General features: G+C 40.9%; 1 long non-coding RNA gene and 1 pseudogene across 2 annotated transcripts in view, besides 1 other annotated feature; both read left to right on the top strand.

The window, feature by feature from the left end:
- Positions 15154-15654: an enhancer, noted in NCBI's record as "H3K27ac hESC enhancer chr8:47529089-47529589 (GRCh37/hg19 assembly coordinates)". NCBI's record gives its function as "activates a minimal SCP1, AML or CMV promoter by ChIP-STARR-seq in primed H9 embryonic stem cells {active_cell/tissue: H9 hESC(primed)}" and the evidence as "EXISTENCE:reporter gene assay evidence [ECO:0000049][PMID:30033119]".
- Positions 15516-21388, top strand: part of ASNSP1 (ASNS pseudogene 1) — a 38393-nt pseudogene continuing 32520 nt past the window's right edge. The window contains exons 1-3 of the transcript NR_146077.2: positions 15516-15573; positions 17947-17982; positions 18587-18844. The product of NR_146077.2 is annotated as an ASNS pseudogene 1 (transcript). The remainder of the gene's footprint in view (positions 15574-17946; positions 17983-18586; positions 18845-21388) is intronic.
- On the top strand, positions 15687-16336 carry LOC124901941 (uncharacterized). Its single transcript, XR_007060902.1, has 2 exons — positions 15687-15957; positions 16151-16336. It is a non-coding gene; the product is annotated as an uncharacterized LOC124901941 (long non-coding RNA).

Here is a 21388-nt window from a genome sequence, read left to right as displayed (position 1 = left end):
TTCATTGTAAATTCTGGATATTAGCCCTTTGTCAGATGAGTAGATTGTGAAAATTTTCTCCCATTTTGTAGGTTGCCTGTTCACTCTGATGGTAGTTTCCTTTGCTGTGCAGAAGCTCTTTAGTTTAATTAGATCCCATTTGTCAATTTTGGCTTTTGTTGCCATTGCTTTTGGTGTTTTAGACATGAAGTCCTTGCCCATGCCTATGTCCTGAATGGTATTGCCTAGGTTTTCTTCTAGGGTTTTTATGGTTTTAGGTCTAACGTTTAAGTCTTTAATCCATCTTGAATTAATTTTTGTATAAGGTGTAAGGAAGGGATCCAGTCTTAGCTTTCTACATATGGCTAGCCAGTTTTCCCAGCACCATTTATTAAATAGGGAATCCTTTCCCCATTGCTTGTTTTTCTCAGGTTTGTCAAAGATCAGATAGTTGTAGATAAGCGGCGTTATTTCTGAGGGCTCTGTTCTGTTCCATTGATCTATATCTCTGTTTTGGAACCAGTACCATGCTGTTTTGGTTACTGTAGCATCGTAGTACAGTTTGAAGTCAGGTAGTGTGATGCCTCCAGCTTTGTTCTTTTGGCTTAGGATTGACTTGGTGATGCGGGCTCTTTTTTGGTTCCATATGAACTTTAAAGTAGTTTTTTCCAATTCTGTGAAGAAAGTCATTGGTAGCTTGATGTGGATGGCACTGAATCTATAAATTACCTTGGGCAGTATGGCCATTTTCATGATATTGATTCTTCCTACCCATGAGCATGGAATGTACTTCCATTTGTTTGTATCCTCTTTTATTTCATTGAGCAGTTGTTTGTAGTTCTCCTCGAAGAGGACCATCTAGGAGAACTTCCCCAATCTAGCAAGGCAGGCCAACATTCAGATTCAGGAAATACAGAGAACGCCACACAGATACTCCTCGAGAAGAGCAACTCCAAGACACATAGTTGTCAGATTCACCAAAGTTGAAATGAAGGAAAAAATGTTAAGGGCAGCCAGAGAGAAAGGTCGGGTTACCCACAAAGGGAAGCCCATCAGACTAACAGCTGATCTCTCAGCAGAAACTCTACAAGCCAGAAGAGAGTGGGGGCCAATATTCAACATTCTTAAAGAAAAGAATTTTCAACCCAGAATTTCATATCCAGCCAAACTAAGCTTCATAAGTGAAGGAGAAATAAAATACTTTACAGACAAGCAAATGCTGAGAGATTTTGTCACCACCAGGCCTGCCCTAAAAAAGCTCCTGAAGGAAGCACTAAACATGGAAAGGGATAACTGGTACCAGCCACTGCAAAATCATGCCAAATTGTAAAGACCATCGAGGCTAGGAAGAAACTGCATCAACTAACGAGCAAAATAACCAGCTAACATCATAATGACACGATCAAATTCACACATAACAATATTAACTTTAAATGTAAATGCACTAAATGCTCCAATTAAAAGACACAGACTGGCAAATTGGTTATAGAGTCAAGACCCATCAGTGTGCTGTATTCAGGAAACCCATCTCATGTGCAGAGACACACATAGGCTCAAAATAAAAGGATGAAGGAAGATCTACCAAGCAAATGGAAAACAAAAAAAGGCAGGGGTTGCAATCCTAGTCTCTGATAAAACAGACTTTAAACTAGCAAAGATCAAAAGAGACAAAGAAGGCCATTACATAATGCTAAAGGGATCAATTCAACAAGAAGAGCTAACTATCCTAAATATATATGCACCCAATACAGGAGCACCCAGATTCATAAAGCAAGTCCTGAGTGACCTACAAAGAGACTTAGACACCCACACAATAATAATGGGAGACTTTAACACCCTGCTGTCAACATTAGACAGATCAATGAGACAGAATGTTAACAAGGATACCCAGGAATTGAACTCAGCTCTGCACCAAGTGGACCTAGTAGACATCTACGGAACTCTCCACCCCAAATCAACAGAATATACATTTTTTTCAGCACCACAGCACACCTATTCCAAAATTGACCACATAGTTGGAAGGAAAGTACTCCTCAGCAAATGTAAAAGATCAGAAATTATAACAAACTGTCTCTCAGACCACAGTGCAATCAAACTAGAACTCAGGATTAAGAAACTCACTCAAAACTGCTCAACTACATAGAAACTGAACAACCTGCTTCTGAATGACTACTGGGTACATAACGAAATGAAGGCAGAAATAAAGATGTTCTTTGAAACCAACGAGATCAAAGACACAACATACCAGAATCTGTGGGACACATTCAAAGCAGTGTATAGAGGGAAATGTATAGCACTAAATGCCCACAGGAGAAAGCAGGAAAGATCCAAAATTGACACCCTAACATCACAATTAAAAGAACTAGAAAAGCAAGAGCAAACACATTCAAAAGCTAGCAGAAGGCAAGAAATAACTAAAATCAGTGCAGAACTGAAGGAAATGGAGACACAAAAAACCCTTCAAAAAATTAATGAATCCAGGAGCTGGTTTTTTGAAAGGATCAACAAAATTGATAGACCACTAGCAAGACTCATAAAGAAGAAAAGAGAGAAGAATCAAATAGATGCAATAAAAAATGATAAAGGGGATATCACCACCGATCCCACAGAAATACAAACTACCATCAGAGAATACCACAAACACCTCTACGCAAATAAACTACAAAATCTAGAAGAAATGGATAAATTCCTCAACACATACACCCTCCCAAGACTAAACCAGGAAGAAGTTGACTCTCTGAATAGACCAATAACAGGATCTGAAATTGTGGCAATAATCAATAGCTTACCAACCAAAAAGAGTCCAGGACCAGATGGATTCACAGCCGAATTCTACCAGAGGTACAAGGAGGAGCTGGTACCATTCCTTCTGAAACTATTCCAATCAATAGAAAAAGAGGGAATCCTCCCTAACTCATTTTATGAGGCCAGCATCATCCTGATACCAAAGCCGGGCAGAGACACAACCAAAAAAGAGAATTTTAGACCAATATCTTTGATGAGCATTGATGCAAAAATCCTTAATAAAATACTGGCAAACCGAATCCAGCAGCACATCAAAAAGCTTATCCACCATGATCAAGTGGGCTTCATCCCTGGGATGCAAGGCTGGTTGAATATATGCAAATCAATAAATATGATCCAGCATATGAACAGAACCAAAGACAAAAACCACATGATTATCTCAATAGATGCAGAAAAGGCCTTTGACAAAATTCAACAACCTTTCATGCTAAAAACTCTCAATAAATTAGGTATTGATGGGACGTATCTCAAAATAATAAGAGCTATCTATGACAAACCCACAGCCAATATCATACTGAATGAGCAAAAACTGGAAGCATTCCCTTTGAAAACTGGCAGAAGACAGGGATGCCCTCTCTCACAACTCCTATTCAACATAGTGTTGGAAGTTCTGGCCAGGGCAATTAGGCAGGAGAAAGAAATAAAGGGTATTCGATTAGGAAAAGAGGAAGTCAAATTGTCCCTGTTTGCAGATGACATGATTGTATATCTAGAAAACCCCATTGTCTCAGCCCAAAATCTCCTTAAGCTGATAAGCAACTTCAGCAAAGTCTCAGGATATAAAATCAATGTACAAAAATCACAAGCATTCTTATACACCAATAACAGACAAACAGAGAGCCAAATCATGAGTGAACTCCTATTCACAATTGCTTCAAAGAGAATAAAATACCTAGGAATCCAACTTTATTTTATTTTTTAAACCTTTATTTTAGGTTGAGGGGTACACATGCACGTTTGTTAAATAGGTAAATTATGTGTTGCAATGGAGGGGTGGTTGGTGTACAAATTATTTCATCACCCAGGTAATGAGCATAGTAACTGATAGGTAGTTTTTCAATTTTCACCCTCCTCTCACCCTCCACCCTCAAGTAGTTCCCGGTGTCTGTTTTTACTCTCTTTGTATTCATATGTACTCAGTGTTTAACTTCCACTTATAAGTGAGAACATGGGGTAATTGGTTTTCTGTCCCCGTCTGTGTTAGTTTGCTTAGGATAATGGCCTCCAGCTGCATCCATGTTGATCCATGTTGCTACAAAGAACATACTTCATTATTTTTATGGTTGCATAGTATTCCATGGTATATATGTACCACATTAGCTTTATACAGCCCATCATTGATGGACATTCAGGTTGATTCCATGCTTTTGCTATTGTGAATAGTGCTGCAATGAACATAGGTGTGCATATGTTTTTATGGTAGAATGATCTATATTCCTTTGGGTATATACCCAATAAGGAGATTGCTGGGTCAAATGGTAATTCTGATTTAAGTTCTTTGAGAAATCACCAAACTGCTTTCCACAGTGGCTGAACTAATTTAACTTCCCACCAACAATGTATAAGCATTCCCTTTTCTGTGTAGCTGCACAAGCATCTGTAGTTTTTTGGCTTTTTAGTAATAGCCGTTGCTGCTGGGCATGGCGGCTCATGCCTGTTATCTCAGCACTTTGGGAGGTCAAGGTGGGCAGATCACTTGAGGTCAGTAGTTGGAGACCAGCCTGCCAATGTGGCAAAACCCCATCTCTACTAAAAATACAAAAATTAGCCAGGTATGGTGGAACACACCTGTAGTCCCAGCAACTTAGGAGGCTGAGGGATGAGAATTGCTTGAACCTGGGAGGTGGAGGTTGCAGTGAGCCGAGATAGCACCACTGCACTCCGGCCTGGGTGACAGAGACTCTGTCTAAAAATAATGATAATAAAATAATAATAATAATAACCATTGTGATGGGTGTGAGATTGTATCTTATTGTAGTTTGATTTGCATTTCTCTAATGATTAGTAATGTTGAACATTTTTTCATATGCTCATTATCCACTTGAATGTCTTCTGTTGAAAAGTATTCATGTTATTTGCCTATTGATTTGTTTGAGCTCATCATAAATTCTGGATATTAGACCTTTGTTGGATGCATAGTTTGCAGATATTTTCTCCCATTCTGTCGGTTCTCTGTTTACTCTGTTGATAGTTTCTTTTGCTGTGCAGAAGCTCCTTAGTTTAACTAGGTCCCATTTATCAAATCTTGCTTTTGTTGAAATTGCTTTTGGTGTTGGGACCCTTTTGAATGGAAGACGTTCAACGTAGAGATGGGGTCTTGCTATGTTGCCCCAGCTTGTCTCATTGTCTCCTGGATGAGGAGAATCCAGGTGGTGCTATAGTGACCATGGTTTACAGAAAAGTGTAATTTACATAGTTAAATGCATTGGTCAAACCTTATCGTAGACTGGGCATGGTGGCTCACACCTATAATCCCAGCACTTTGGGAGGCTCAGGTGAGTGGATTGCTTGAGCCCATGAGTAATCTGCCCTGGATTCATAAGCCCAGCCTAGGCCACATGGTAAAACCCCATCTCTATAAAAATTAGAAAAAAAAAAAAAGCCAGGCATGGTGGTGTGTGGCTGTAGTCTCAGCTATTCCGGAGGCTGAGGTGAGAGAATTACCTGAGCCAAGGAGGTTGAGGCTGCTGTGAGCCAGGATCACACCACTGCACTGCAGCCTGGGAAATGAGAGTGAGACCTTGTCTCAAAAAAAAAAAAAAAAAGAAAAACCCAAAACAACAACAACAACAACAAGAAAACACAAACTTTATCATAACTCAAATAATAGAAATGATAGAGAAAAGAATGCCCCCAGAATCCAACCATCTTAGCCAGATAACATGTCTTTGTGTGTCTGTGTATGCAGTTTCTACTCTATTCATATCCTTTGCCCAATTTTGTGATATTTTAAATCATGAGTCATTGGTTCTCAACTCTGGCTCATGTGAATCTCTAAGGGAGTTTTTACAAGGCCGGGATGACCATGCTCTACCTTGACCTAGAGAATCAGAATCTCAAGAAACTTCTTAAAATGAATCCCAGGACAACATTCTATTTCTGGAGGCAACATCAGTCACTGTGCAGCAGCTACATTGTGTGAGGTAAATACCCGGGGTTCTTTATCTCACGCCAAGAAAATTTAGTACATGGACACACATGAGGAGTTTAGGAGTGGAGGTTTAATAGGCAAAAGAAAAAGAAATAAAGAGAAAGGAAAATAGCTCTCTCTCTAGTGAGAGATTGGGGACTTCTGAGGAAAAGATTTGCCTGTGGCAGATATGCTGGATTTTATAGACAGGCTTGAGGAGGCGGTGTTTAATTTACACAGGGCTCACAGATTGGCTCAAACAGGTATGACATGGGGGAGCTGGCTGCCCCACCCTAATCTTATTATGCAAATGAACTTTCCCATTGGTGGCACCATCTTGTCTGCTCCTTACTGTACACCTGGCTGACAAAGAGAAGGGAAGATGGAGCCACCATCTTGAACATGATTGGTATAAACTGGCAGCATCATCTGCAGCTTGATTTTACAGGCTGCTCTTTGTTAGAAAGGAAAATAATTTGGGGTTGCCTTTCATTAAAAGGAAAATGTTACCAAGGACTTCCGTACTCTCACTATGTGCCTAAGTAATTTCTTCCTAACTCTTGTATCAACCGCATTTAAACAATTTTTTAAATTGAGGTAAAATTCACCATTTTAAAGTGTACAATTCAGTGATATGTAATGCATCACAACATTGTGTGACTGAGGTATTCTCGTAAGAAATTTTCAGTTACATCTGCTTATATTGTGTAAAACTAGAAAGTTACATTTGCAAGAGATAAAATTAAACACTAAGAAAGTTAATTTTTTCAAACTATTATTTTCTAATGGTTTTTGTTATTTCCATCCCCAGTTCAGTGAGATAGAATTGTAGAAATCTCTCGGAATATTGGGAGTGTTCTGTTCACCTCTTCAGGTCTGAAAGAGTGAGCAAGGCTGCCTAGGGTTCAGCAAGAACTCCTTTCTGGATTAAATGCTATGAATTTGGAGGCCAAATATGAATATAGTCCAATGATAACAAAAGCTGATACATTTTGAAATTTTATTGTGTTCCAACTATCCTGCCAGTTTGCAAATCTTCACATTATTCCTAAATCTCCCAACAAGCCTGCCTAGTTCTTATCTTTTTTCCGCTTGGCAAGTGAAGAAACAGAATCTGAGGGGACTTGCTCAAGGTCATATAGTTTAAAAGTAATGTAGCTGAGGTTTCCATATTTGATCTGTATGATGCCATAGCCCAGATCCTCACTCCCTCAACTCTCTGGACTCCAGTTGGGTGTCCAAGCATTCAGTTCCATTCTAACCATTTACCTAGAGTAAGCATGAACCCCAAAGGTTAACGGCTCAGTCCCACAAGACTGCCCTCATTTCAGAAACGAATCCCAAGTCCCAGGCCTCCCATACTTCTGACTGATTGGTTGCAAACTCGGGTTCACAGGACTCCCTCTTCATGTTTGATAATTTGCTAGAATAGCTCACAGAACACAGAAAGTCACTTTACCTAATATTACCAATTTGTTTTAAAGGATATGACTCAGAAACAGCCAAATGGAAAAGATGCATAGTGTAAGGTATAGGGGTACATGGAGCTTCCATGCCCTCTCTAGGTGCACCACACTCTCAGTCCCTGGCTGTGTTTACCAATCCAGAGGTATTCTGGGACCCATAATTTAGGTGTTTTATGAAGGTTTCATTACATAGGCATGATTGATTAAACAATTGGCCATTGCTGATTAACTCAATCTCCAGCCCCACTCTCCTCCCAGGATGTTGAGGGGTGGAGCAGAAAGTTCCAACTCTCTAATCATTTCATTGGTTTCTAGAAAAAGGACTCCTTATGCTCCAAGAGTTACGTTGTTAGCATAAACTCAGATATGGTTGAAAGGTGCTTACTATGAGTAACAAAAGATGCTCCTATTACCCCTGTCACTCAGGGAATTCCAAGGGTTTTAGAACTCTGTCAGGAGTCAGCATGGTGGCAAGCACCTGTCATTTTAGCTACTCAGGATACTGAGGCAGGAGGATCACTTGGGCCCAGGAGTTTAAGGCTGCAGTGAACTATGATCATGCCACTGGTGAGACCATGTCTCTTAAAAATTATTATTATTATTATTTTAAAGCTCTGTGTGAGAAACCAAAGACAAAGACCAAGTACATATTTCTTACTATCACACTCCCAAAACACAGCATGAGAACTTGTGAGCCTAACATTAAGTAGAGAAGCTGATTCAAACACTAAGAGACAAGACTTCCAGGTGTCTGAACCCAATGCATGGAACCAGGGAGGCCAAAACAGAAAAGAGGCAGGGGCAGAATGCTAGCCAAAAAGTAGAGGTTGTGCTTGAAGTTTTGCTTGTTCACCTGGTAAACTCCTCTTCCTTTGGCAGGAAGAGTTTGCCTGAAGCAAGCTCAATGTGTCCACTGTGGGGAGCCCAGAATAGGTTTCCACCATCACTAGGTGACAGGCATCAAAAATAGGGTCAAGCTAAGAAGAGTGGTGAAATGTATTAGGAAGCCAGTGGTAGCAGTGCCTGTGGGAAAGTGTTTAGAGCATTCTCTGATGTTTTTGTGGGTTCTAGGTTACCCTCCTGGGTGTTCCTAAGCTGCCTGGCCTCTAGTTATTCACTTGGCAAGCATTTATTGGGTGCTTCCTATGTGCCAGGCATTGTGCTTGGCTTTGAAAGGTGTCAAGAGCAGCAGAGACCTGAAAAAGGGTAGAGGAGGAAATGATACCTTTCAGAGAAATGGCTATTCTGTAAGAGGAAAACAGCAATTTACTGATTCACTGTAGCCATTTCTATGTAGTCTGAGCAGGTAAAAGAACCAAGGTGTCTGGAGGGGTGTACCAGAAGGGCATCTGGTAATTGCATGGGCAGTTTTGAATGGCTTCTTGCAAAGTGTGGGCATCCATTGGAATGGAAGGTTGGAGGCTGACTGGCTGAATAGTCCATGAAGATGGGGAATCTCTTTAATGATTATGTAGTTTGCTTCAACCTGGGTGGTTGTTGGGTGGATGGAGGTGCAAGAGATCCCTTAATTTAAATATGGCAGGCAGTGCATCTGAAACGGAGGCCATGACAATTGGAGAGGCATTTAGAATTGGCAGTGGTGCTGCTACCTGGGCTGCTTCTTGTCTTGGTGGTAGGCATCAAAGGTCAAGCTAAAGAGTCATCAAGTGTATTAGTTTCCTAGGACTACTGTAATGAATTACCACAAACCGAGTGGCTTAAAACAACATAAGTTTATTTTCTTGAAGTTCTAGGGACCAGAAGTCTCTCTTCAGGGTGTCAGCAGAACCACATTTCCTAAGAAGCATCTAGGGAAGATACTTTCCTTGCCTTTTCCATCTTCTGGTGGCTCCAGATGTTCCTTGGCTTGTGACTGCATGACTCCAATCTCTACCTTCACATGGCCTTCTCCGTTTCCCTTCTGTGTGTCTCTTTAAGAACACTTGTCCTTGGATTTAAGGTCCAACTGAATAATCCAGGATGATCTCATCCTGAAGTCCTTCACTTAATTACATCTGCAAAAATGCTTTTTTCCAAATAAAGTCACAGTCACAGGTTCTGGGGCATGTGTATATATTTCTGGGGGGCCACCATTCAACTACTATATCAACTCCTCTACATACTATGTTCAGAGATATAAATGGACAGAGGTAGCCTCACAGAGAAGCCCAAATTTCAGACTGTTATTTGCTTGCTCTGATAAATTCCTCTCAGTCTTCTCACCTTTGTTCTGTCACCAGATATTCTGGATCACAGCCAAATGCTGTGGGGAGATGTGTTTTTCTGTCTATGCTGGGGCCTGATGGCTTAGACATGCCTGGTCTGAAGGATTTCCTGAGGTTGAGACTGACCGTGCCATACCCTGTGAGTTCAGCTTCTAAGACGGTTACTTAGCAGTAGACAAAAATAAATCACTTTGAAAAGGTGACCCAAAATGCTCTCAACAAACAGTATCTATGATTGTTATTTTGAGGTCTGCCACAATTGATCTGGACAGTCTGCATATAGCCTACATTAGGTGCCAGTTTTTTAAAGGAAGCATTCAGAACATAGAGGCAGCCTTGATATCTCATCACTTTTGCTCTCAGCTTTCTGCACTGCAGATATAGCAGTGAGTATAATTTGTATCTGCAGTCTTTGAAACCCTTCAGTACCTGCTAGGAAGCACTGGTCCCCATTATGGTGTTAAGAACCTAGCTTTGGAATATTGGGCTGGGTGCTGTCACGATGGCCAAATTAGGGTAAAAGTGAAATGAGTCTTCAGCTGCTTCAAGGATGTACTGATGGCTGGATTCCAGCAAGCCCTTTTCCCCTTTGGTGGGTGTTGTTTAGAGTAGTTATGACTGAGATGCAGTGGATGGGTTGGTCATATCTAACAAGCCTCAGGAATGACTAGATGATTCCCTTCTGAGGATCTTTCACTACAGCAATGCAGAATGTTTTTGTTTCATCCCAGAGAGATGTTCACAACATTTTATTCAATGAGAAAACCAAATAATAGCAGACTATTCAGACTATAGCAGACTATATAGGATATTACGTAATGCAATATCCGGGCCCCATTATAATATTTTCTCCTTTATTTTTCTCCATAGCACTTGTCTTCATTTATACATGTAATTTATGTGTCTCATTAATTTCTCCTGTTCCCCTGCACCATGAATGCAATAAGCTCCATGCCCCAGAACATAATACATGCTCAAAACATGTTGTTAGTTTAATGAAAAAATTAAACCCTTTGCCCTCTGACAATCCTAATCATAACCTCCAAAAGAAGGAAAAAGGGTTAGTCTGGTCTCTAGCCACAAGTGTAACTTTCAGCAGCTAAAAACCATGTTCACCTCTGCTTGTTGTGTTCAAGAACAGCCAAGAGATCAATATGACTGGGATGCAATGAACTAGGGAGAGGGAAGTAAGAGATACAGTTGGAAGACAAGGAAGGTGGATATTTGTTAAGCTTTTGGGCTCACAATTCGACTCTGATTTTGTTGGGGCCTGTTACTCCAGGGCTCCTGATTCCTAGTTCAGAAGCTATAAACAGTATCTATGACTGGACTGGGCATATCTGTGGCTGGACAGGCCATAACCTGGAAATGCTTAGGGGAATTCTGTTAGAGGAAGGCTTTTGTTTATTTAACACACATTATATTCAGGAACCTGGGCTCGATAATCTTACATTCACCATTTTATCTAATGCTATAAAATTATACATTCCTTGCCCATGAAAATGTCCAGTTCATCTGTCTTTTTCAGCCCTATACTTCTCTAGCCTGCAACCAAGCCTCTAATCATCAGCCCCTGTTACACTTTCAACAAATTAGGTCACTTCTGGCTTTACTTATTTCCCTTCCAACTTAAAATATTTAAGCTCTATTAGCCAGTTTAGATTGGGTTATGCTGCGGTTACAAATGACTCCCAAGTCTCAGACACATACACCCAGAAAAGTTTGTTTGCTTACTTCAGCTACATATTGATCATGGGTAGGCTGTGACCCTTCTCAACATAATTCTCATTCTGGGCCCTTGGTTGGTGGAGTTGCTCCTACCTGGAATGCTGGCAGAGGAAAAAGAGATGGTGTTGAGCTACATCATGGTTCTTATAATTTCTGCTTACAAGTGACACCTGTCACTTCTGCTCATGTTTCATTGGCAATAGCAAGTCACCTGGCTATGCTGATATCAATGGGTTAGATATAGTATAATCCTCCCCCAGAGAGGTGCATTGCATATTTTTGAGCAATAATAGAACATACCAAAAGTGTATCCCTGCAGAAGCACACTCACTGCACCTGTGCTCCTGAGCCCTCTTATCCTTCTTCCACACACACTCTTCCAAACACAGAACCTGGATCCATTCCCTCCATGTCTTGACACTGGCTCTCAGACTGCCCTGTGTTGTTGGAGGCTCTGCCCTCCCCGACGTCGCCAGTCCACATTCATGCTTGGGTTTTCCTCCTTTGCTGGACCACCATGATGCCCACCCATCTTTTCCTTTTCCCCTCATTAACTCTGATATTTGCCTGTTATTTTCAAGTTCACCCTCACAACATCTCAAACCCTTCAGTACCTGCAGAAGATGAGCCTCTTGTTTTTTATGAAAAACAGTGGCCTATAAGTATGAATTATTCTAAAACTTGTAAACTCTCCTTCGCATTTCTTTTCTCTTCTCAGCTGTTTTTCTCCACAGCACTTATTTATCATCATCGACATACTTAGCTTATAAATCTTGTATGATGGTAAATATTAGGTGTCAACTTGATTGGACTGAGAACTGCCTAGAGTATTGTTCCTGAGTGTGTTCGTGAGGGTGTTGCCAGAGGAGATTGACTTTTGTGTTGGTGGACTGGGAAGGAAGACCCACCCTCAAGGTGGGTGGGCACCAGTCAATCACATGTCAGAGCAGCTAGAACAAAGCAAGTGGAGGAAGCTGGGATAACTTTGCTAGCTGAGGCTTCTGGCTGTCCTTTTTCCTCCTTCCCATGCAGGATGCTTGCTTCTGTTCCTTCTGCCCTTAGACATCAGACTCCAGGTTCTTCTGCCTTTGGACTCTGGGACTTGCACCAGCAGCTTACCCAGGACTCTCAGGCCCTCAGCCTCAGACTGAAGACTGCACTGTGGACTTCCCTGGTTTTGAGGCTTCTGGACTTGGACTGAGCCACTACTAGCTTGTCTCTTTCCCCAGCTGGCAGACAACCTATTGTGAGACTTTGCCTTGTAATCGTGTGAGCCAATTCTCTCTAGTAAACTCCCTTTTACATATACGTGTATCCTATTGGTTCTGTCCCTCTGGAGAACCCTGACTAATACACCTCGTTTATTTTTTCCCCGCTGCCCTTTCCTTTTCTAGGTTTACCGAGACCACTACCATTCTTTCCCTCTTTTCTGTTCTAAAGTAAAAGTTATTTTTTCTCGCTAAATGCATGGTGTTCTGCCCATTTCCCATGGCTTCTCTCAGTCCTGCTCTGTTTATTCTTCTTGCTCTCTTAAGAAGAAATCCTTGCCCATTCCTTGGCTTTTTCCGCCTGGTCTACTTACTGGTTTCTGTTGTTCTCAGAGACACACTGAGACCTTTCACATCTCACTGTCACTTCTTGGAAGGGCTCTCTCTACCTGTTTTGCATGCTACGGAACCTCTTGGGAAGACACGGGCAGTCCTGAGTCACGGAACTTGAGTTGTTTGGTATTGGTATGTTAATTTATCTTCTTAGACCACTTACCACTTCCTTAACTTCACAAGAGAAGAATAATTATTATTTTCCACGGTTGATGTGAAGAGTGGAAATAACATATACAAAACGCACTGCAGTTAAGAGATAATAAATGACAGCAAATGTCCTTATTAGTGTTATTCTATCAGTCTCAGCTCAGATACCTTCTGCTCTGTGAGCTCTACTCTGAATCGTATCTAGTTCTTCTCTGGGTTCATTGTGCTCTATTCTTAAATACTTTAAAGCAGTAATTATTCTGATTCTAATTAGTGGTCTTTCCCAATAACATTTTAATGTTTTAGATCTCTTCCTCCAACCCCTGCCCCAGCCTAACCAGTGTTTTCTTTTGTGTGTGTGTGTGTGTGTGTGTGTGTGTGTGTGCAGGCTAAATCACTGGTCTTCGTTTATTTGTGGCTAAATAAATGTTTTGTTCAAAGAGTAAAGCGTTCCCAGTTCTATGGGATCTATAGTTCTCCAAAATGAATACATACGTAATCCATGTAAATATTTCACTTTTAAAACAAATTTCTAATTTTTAAATTAAATTTAATTTGTGCACGTATGTATGTGTGTGAGACCAGGGATGGGGGTGGGTCTCACTATGTTGCTCAGGCTGGTCTTGAACTCCTGGCCTCAGGCCACCCTCTTGCCTTGGGCTCCCAAAGTGCTGGAATTATAGGCGTGAAACACTGCACCCAGCCTCAATTTTGTTTTAACAGATCCTAGAGCGAGAAAGCAAGTAGCATTGTGATAGAGTAGCTGAATAGGAAGCAGTTCCTAAAATCTGAAGAAAAGGAGGTGTGGGAAGGGTCAGGTAACAGGAACTGTGGTCTTCTTGAGATGAGCTTTGACGTCAGGGAGCCAGGCGGCTAAATGTCCTGAGACTACTCCATCCCACCTTTTGCATCTCCTTGAAATGTCTTCTTTCACACACTCTCCCTGAAAGAGGAGGGCAAGGGAGCCAGGACAGAAAGTGAGGTGGAGAACAGTAGAGCTCTGGAGGGACAAGCAGGAGATAAGCAGCACAACCAACCACACCAGATAACACATGAAGTAGGAGAACCCATCTTCCACTACATAGGCAAGGTGCTACGGGAAATGGACACCTTGGAAATGGGTTTACACAGATTATGACACAATTCTTTATTGTTCTGAAACTGTGTTTGGATAAATCCCTCAACTTATCTGAGTCTTGTTTTCTCATCTTTAAATGTAGATAGAAGACCTACTTTCCCACATTGCTCTCAGGTTTAAAATACATCAATTAGGATACAGCAAAATCTGTTTGATGCTGAAAACTTTCCAGCAAGAATGAACCTTAGAACAAGTCATCTCTTATCTTTACTCTTGCCTATAACTACCAAAATCTACTCCATCTTCTGTGCTTAGGGATTTTATATCGTTGGCATTTTTTATTTAGTGGGGAATGCATTGTATGGGGATATCAAACCTGCATTCTCTCCAAGCATTGACTGTAGTCTGATCTTAGTAGGTCGTGCACATATAATTTTACTATTTCTCAATTTATTTTGGTGCTGATGTAATTAGTAAAATATGATTTAAGAGTGTTATGATACTTTTTAAAAATTGTGATGTCTTTTGTTCATCAAAGAGATACTTAAAAGCACATAATCATCTGTGGATGTAGGTTGACAAAATCCTTTTTGAGATTGTAAAAGGAATCTTTGTACTTAAAATGTTTAAGGACCACTGATGTGTTTTGGCTTCATGAATCAATTAGATTTAGATTTTCTTTTATTGTTTTAGAGATGGGAGTCTCACTTTGTCACCCTCGCTGGAGTGGAGCTCACCGCAGCCTCAAACTCTTGGGCTCAAGTTATCCTTCTGCCTCAGCCTTCTGAGTTGCTGGGACTAAAGGGTGTGCCACCATTTTTTTGTAGATGTGTGATCTCGCTGTGTTTCCCAGGCTGGTCTTGAACTCCTGGTTTCAAGTGATCCTCTTGCCTTGGCCTCGCAAAATGTTGGGATTATGGGCGTGAGCCACCACTCCTGACTCCGATTTATTAATATATTTTATAAGGACATTTTAGGCCTTACGCATCAGTTTCTGAGGACAAGCTTTTCTCTGCACTCCATAATAAATCAGACGGTAGTGCAACAAAAAACGGTGACGATTTCCCTAAGAACAAACCAAGTGCAGAAGACTCCCTAATTGTCAGAACAGCGGGTAACCTGGGCAGATCTCTGAGGCTGTCCTTTAACACGCGCACTGAGAAACAGAAGGCGATGGAAACAAAAGAATGCCTTCTTGCTGCCTCCCGCCGCCCCTCTTAGTCCCGCCCCGCCCCAGCCGCCCCGCGAGCCCCGCCTCTGCACGCGCTGGTTGATCCTCGCAGGCATGATGAAACTTCCCGCACGCATTACAGCAGCCCAGCCGGTATAAGCGCCAGCAGCCCCGCCGCCGGCATGCTGTCCACAGCCCTGGCCTCCACTGCCCACATCGCCCTGACCTGTTTGCGCCCTGGTGAGCCGACCCCCGCGTCCCGCGCAGCACCCTCCTCGCGTGCTCTGGGGCTGCCCCGGGAGGAAGGAGGCGAGGATGCGCTCTTCAGCTTGGCACCCGGCAGACGCGGCTTGGGGGCGAGGGCGGACGCTGTGGCTCCTGCGGTAGAGAGGGCGGGGCGGACGCCCAGCTATTGTTGCGCACCTGGCAGCAAGAGGGTGCGGAAGGACCTCTCTGTCCTGGTACACTGAGGCATGAAGGGAACCATGGCCGGGAGGCAGAGCTACTCCAGAGAGAAGGCAGCGGCGGCCTGAGCCCCTGTAAATGTTATATATGTACTTTTTTTACTATGTGGCATCGAAGCCTGTGGACATTTTCCCAGTCCAGAGCCTCTGTTTCGGACAGGTGGGAGCGTGCACATGGCTAGGGCACAGTCAGGTGTCTGTGGTCCTGATCTAGGAAGCAGAGACTCCGGCTTTATCACCACCTCGGTGTCTGTGCTTTCCCCTTAAACTGCCTCCCTCCTCACCTGGACTCCCTCACCATGCCTCCTTTCCTCTCACTCCTCTGCCACCCCGGTACCCACCCCTCTCTGTAGACTGCAAGACTCAACAAGTGACGTGCTGAGCAAACCCTGAGAGAAGAGGTCTGTTTAGGGACACAGGAAGCCAAGTACAGAAAAAGCAAAAGAATTAGCATGGCTTTTTCAATGGATGTCTATTTTACAGGACTGGCTGTAGATTATTGTTATAGCTTTAAATAAAAGGATAGTTTTCGTCTCGGCCCATGGCCTACATTATTTCTTTACTGTCCGTTGCCCTGGGCGCTTGACTAATAATTTAACAGCAGTTTTTTTTTTTTTAATTTTAAATCACGATTCATTGCATTGCTGTAAGAGTAATTAGAGGTAAAGTAGGGCTTGAACCTGTCTGTAGTTCGTTACTTACTGAGATCTTAACATAAAAAAAGTAAGGTGAGAGGGTGAAGTTTTAAGTAGCGCTAAGTGGAATAGAAATTAAATGCACTGTAAGTGCGAAGTCCAATTCGGTAGGCGCTAGCCACCTGTAACTGTTGAGCACTTGAAATGGTGGCTAGTCCTAATTGAGATGTGTTGTGTTAAATACATTGGATTTTGTCATTGGAGTAAGAAGAACAGTGCAAAATATCTGCTTGATAATTTTTTATATTGATTACATGTTAAAGTGATACTATTTGGGACATATTGAGTTAAGTATACTTAAAATTAATTTCACCTTTTTTTTAATGGGGCTACTAGTATATTTAAAATTACATACGTGACTCACATATTTATTGGACAGCCCTGCTCCAGAAGTTTAGGAAGAAATAAGAAAAATATTGAAAACAGGTAGCGGCAGTAGGAAGTTTGCCAACCTTTAAGACTGATTACAATAAAAATAGGTGACAGTTTTAATTGGCTTTTTCCTACTAGAAAAAATAAGTATATTTTACATGCCTCTTTGTTCTCCCTCCTTCCCCTCCAATTTAGTGGTTAGCTTGTATTTACTATAGCACGCTAAATATTCACTAAGCAGCATTAAGAAGACTTAGGTAAATGATTCCCTGATGACCACACTTGATTTTCAAAGCAATTTCCTAACCCATTTTTAATTGGTACAGAGTCAAAGACAGATGGCTTATTAGTAGTCATCTCATTTAAATCTCATAGAATTTTCCCACTAAATCTCAAAGTAAGTAATTTGTTATAGGCTATTATAGGCTATTTGGTCAAGTGCATGGAAGGGACAGCATTAGGACATGTGGTAGTTCATTTCCAAATTACTTGAGATGATTTTCATTATAATCATATATTATTTGGTTCTGGTTTTCCAGAAAAGCCAGCTAAACCTTTGTTTTATTTAGATATAAATGAAATATCTTCAAAGGATTGCTCAAACTGACTTATGCAGCTTGAATATATATTTTTTCCTTAGGGTGTTTATCCCAAATTATCTGGCTATTTGCTGCAATTTGCAGTTAAAAAAAAATAGTTATTTTTCAAGTTAGAGATGTTTTAGTAAAAGCAGTCATTTTGAGCTGGCAGCAGCCAAATAAAACAGCCCTTTATTTCACAGTTGAGAGTTTGAAATTGGAAGTTAATTGATGTATGTAAGGATGATTTATTTGCTTCCAGGTTTATAGGAAGGAGCCCAGTTGTTTTTTTTTTTTTTTTAGAAATGTTGTTGCTGTATATGTCCCACCTACTTGGCTTCCTTCCTAAACAATGCAACTTTCAGACAGAAATATTTGAGAACATTTTTGTCAGTCAGAATATTTTGATAGCAAACATTTTGTATCTTCTGTCAACTTAGAATGTTTTATTTGTTATAGCCAGGATATCTGATATCAAATTAAATTGCTTTATTTTCCCTTTAGACTTTCTTCAATCACACCTGAATAAATCACTTAGAGGTAAGCTAGATGTAATATAGTGAAATACTTAAAAGACCTGTGTATCTTAGTATTGCATTTACAGCAGTATGATTTTCTGTTGTACCCATTATATTCTACCTGCAGCTAGTTCAGTAAAGAGAGGGCATTTAACTGTCAAGAGAATCTGAGAGGAGACTCTAGTAATCTGGAAAGTCTCTTGGATCTTTGAGGGATTTGGGGATGGAGAGAGTGGGGCTGGGATCTCTGGCTAGGTTGGAGCCAGCCTGCATTTGTATCTGTATCTTGGAAGCAGACTTAGAATGCAGAGACAGATGTGGCCTGGATGCTGCCAGCTCTAGCCAACCACTGAATCCTAAGGTGGGAGAGATGCAGGCTTTGGCTGGGTGCTAAGCTGCTATAGCTGGTTGAATGTAGAGGTCACTATCTTTTCTGAATACTAGTTAAGTAAATTAAATTATTCTCTACTCCCGTGTGTCTACCAACCTGATGGGAGATCGCTACAGAAAAGATGGTTTAAATTTTAGTCTTTGAAGTGGTTTAAGCACGTTTCTGGAATCAAGATTGAATGCAGACTTGGATTGGATATTGAATATTTTTTATTTGTCTGCTTTTCTCTCCATAGAGAGCTTATAGCTTCATTCCACCACGTGTGGCATTTGGCCCTGTTTGGCAGTGATGACCGCCTTTCTGTTCAGTGTCTGAGTGCTATGTAGATTGCACACAGGGGTCCAGATGCATTCTGTTTTGAGAATGTCAGTGGATACACCAATAGCTGCTTTGGATTTCACCAGAACCGCTGTTTGGAATGCAGCCAATTCAAGTGAAGAAATATCCATATTTGTGGCTCTGTTACAGTGGTGAAATCTACAACCATAAGAAGGTGAGGAAAGAGACACCAGATGTCTAGATGTGATTAAACTTAAGATCTTGTTGATAATGATGATATTATATATTCTGTATCATGCGTTTTACTTTGCAAAGCACACTATGTTCACTATCTCATTTGCTCAAGTATGTAGATAGGGAACTCATGAATGAAATGGTGAGTGAAATGACTTGATCACAAAAAAGTGATAAAAATGGGGATTACAGTTCAGTTTCTTTGACTCTTAATTTTTTTTATTTTTATTATAATGTAAGTTCTTGGGTGCATGTGCAGAACGTGCAGTTTTGTTACATAGGTATACACGTGCCATGGTGGCTTCCTGCACTCATCAACCCGTCATCTACGTCAGGTATTTCTCCTAATGTTATCCCTCCCCTAGCCCACCACCCCCTGACAGGCCCCGGTGGATGATGTTCCCCTCCCTATGTCCATGCATTCTCATTGTTCAACTCCCACTTATGAGTGAGAACATGCAGTGTTTGGTTTTCTGTTCTTGTAATAGTTTGCTAAGAATGATGATTTCCAGCTTCATCCATGTCCCTGCAAAGGACATGAACTCATCCTTTTTTATGGCTGCATAGTGTTCCATGGTGTATATGTGCCACATTTTCTTTATCCAATCTATTATTGATGGACATTTAGGTTGGTTCCAAGTCTTTGATATTGTGAATAGTGCTGCAGTAAACATAAGTGTGCATGTGTCTTTATAGCAGCATGATTTATAATCCTTTGGGTATATACCCAGTAATGGGATTGCTGGGTGAAATGGTATTTCTAGTTTTAGATCCTTGAGGAATCACCACAGTGTCTTCCACAATGGTAGAACTAATTTACATTCCCACTAACAGTGTGAAAGCACCCCTATTTCTCCACATCCTCTCTAGCATCTGTTGTTTCCTGACTTTTTAATAATCACCATTCTAACTGGCATGAGATTGTATCTCATCGTGGTTTTGATTGGCATTTCTCTAATGACCACTAATGATGAGCATTTTTCCATATGTCTGTTGGCTGCATAAATGTCTTCTTTTGAGAAGTGTCTGTTCATATCCTTCGCCCACTTTTTGATGGTGTTGTTTGTTTTTTTCTTGTAAATTTGTTTAAGTTTTTTGTAGATTCTGGATATTAGCCCTTTGTCAGATGGATAGATTGCAAAAATTTTCTCCCATTCTGTAGGTTGGCTGTTCACTCTGATGATAGTTTCTTTTGCAGTGCAGAAGCTCTTTAGTTAAGTTAGATCGCATTTGTCAATTTTGGCTTTTGTTGCCATAGCTTTTGGTGTTTTAGACATGAAGTCTTTGCCGATGCCTATGTCCTGAATGGTATTGCCCAGGTTTTCTTCCAGGATTTTTATGGTCCTAGGTCTTAAGTTTAAGTCTTTGATCCATCTTGAGTTGATTTTTGTATAGGGTATAAGGAAGGGGTCCAGTTTCAGTTTTCTGCATATGGTTAGCCAGTTCTCTGAACAACATTTATTAAATAGGGAATCTTTTCCCCATTGCTTGTTTTTGTCAGGTTTGTCAAAAATCAGATTGTTGTAGATGTGTGGTTTTGTTTCTGAGGACTCTGTTCTGTTCCATTGGTCTATATATCTGTTTTGGTACCAGTACCATGCTGTTTTGGTTACTATAGCCTTGTAGTATACTTTGAAGTCAGGTAGTGTGATGCCTCCAGCTTTGTTCTTCTTACCCAGGATTGTCTTGGCTATGCAGGCACTTTTTTGGTTCCATATGCAGTTTAAAGTAGTTTTTTTCCAATTCTGTGAAGAAAGTCATTGGTAGCTTGATGGGGATGGCATTAAATCTCTAAATTACTTTGGGCAGTATGGCCATTTTCATGATATTGATTGTTCCTAATCATAAGCATGGAATATTTTTCCCTTTGTTTGTGTCCTCTCTTATTTCCTTGAGCAGTGGTTTGTAGTTCTCCTTGAAGAGGTCCTTTACATCCCATGTAAGTTGTATTCCTAGGTATTTCAATCTCTTTGTAGCACTTATGAATGGGAGCTCACTCATGATTTGTGTCTCTGTTTGTCTGTTATTGGTGTATAGGAATGCTTGTAATTTTTGCACATTGATTTTGTATCCTGAGACTTTGCTGAATTTGCTTATCAGCTTAAGGAGATTTTGGGCTGAGAGGATGGGGTTTTCTAAATAGATAATCATGTCACCTGCAAACAGAGACAATTCGACTTCCTCTCTTTCTATTTGAATACCCTTTATTTCTTTCTCTTGCCTGATTGCCCTGGCCAGAACTTCCAATAGTATGTTGAATGGGAGTGGTGACAGAAGGCATGTTGAATAGGAGTGGTGTCTTGTACCAGTTTTCAAAGGAAATGCTTCTAGTTTTTGTCCATTCAGTATGATATTGGCTGTGGGTTTGTCATAAATAGCTCTTATTATTTTGAGATATGTTCCATTGATACCTAGTTTATTGAGAGTTTTTAGCATGAAGGGTGTTGAATTTTGTCGAAGGCCTTTTCTGCATCTATTGAGATAATCATGTGGTTTTTGTCATTGGTTCTGTTTATGTGATGAA

This window comes from Homo sapiens, chromosome 8, assembly GCF_000001405.40.
Source record: "Homo sapiens chromosome 8, GRCh38.p14 Primary Assembly".
Lineage (NCBI taxonomy): Eukaryota > Metazoa > Chordata > Mammalia > Primates > Hominidae > Homo > Homo sapiens.
This window is presented reverse-complemented; position numbering and strand designations above follow the sequence as displayed.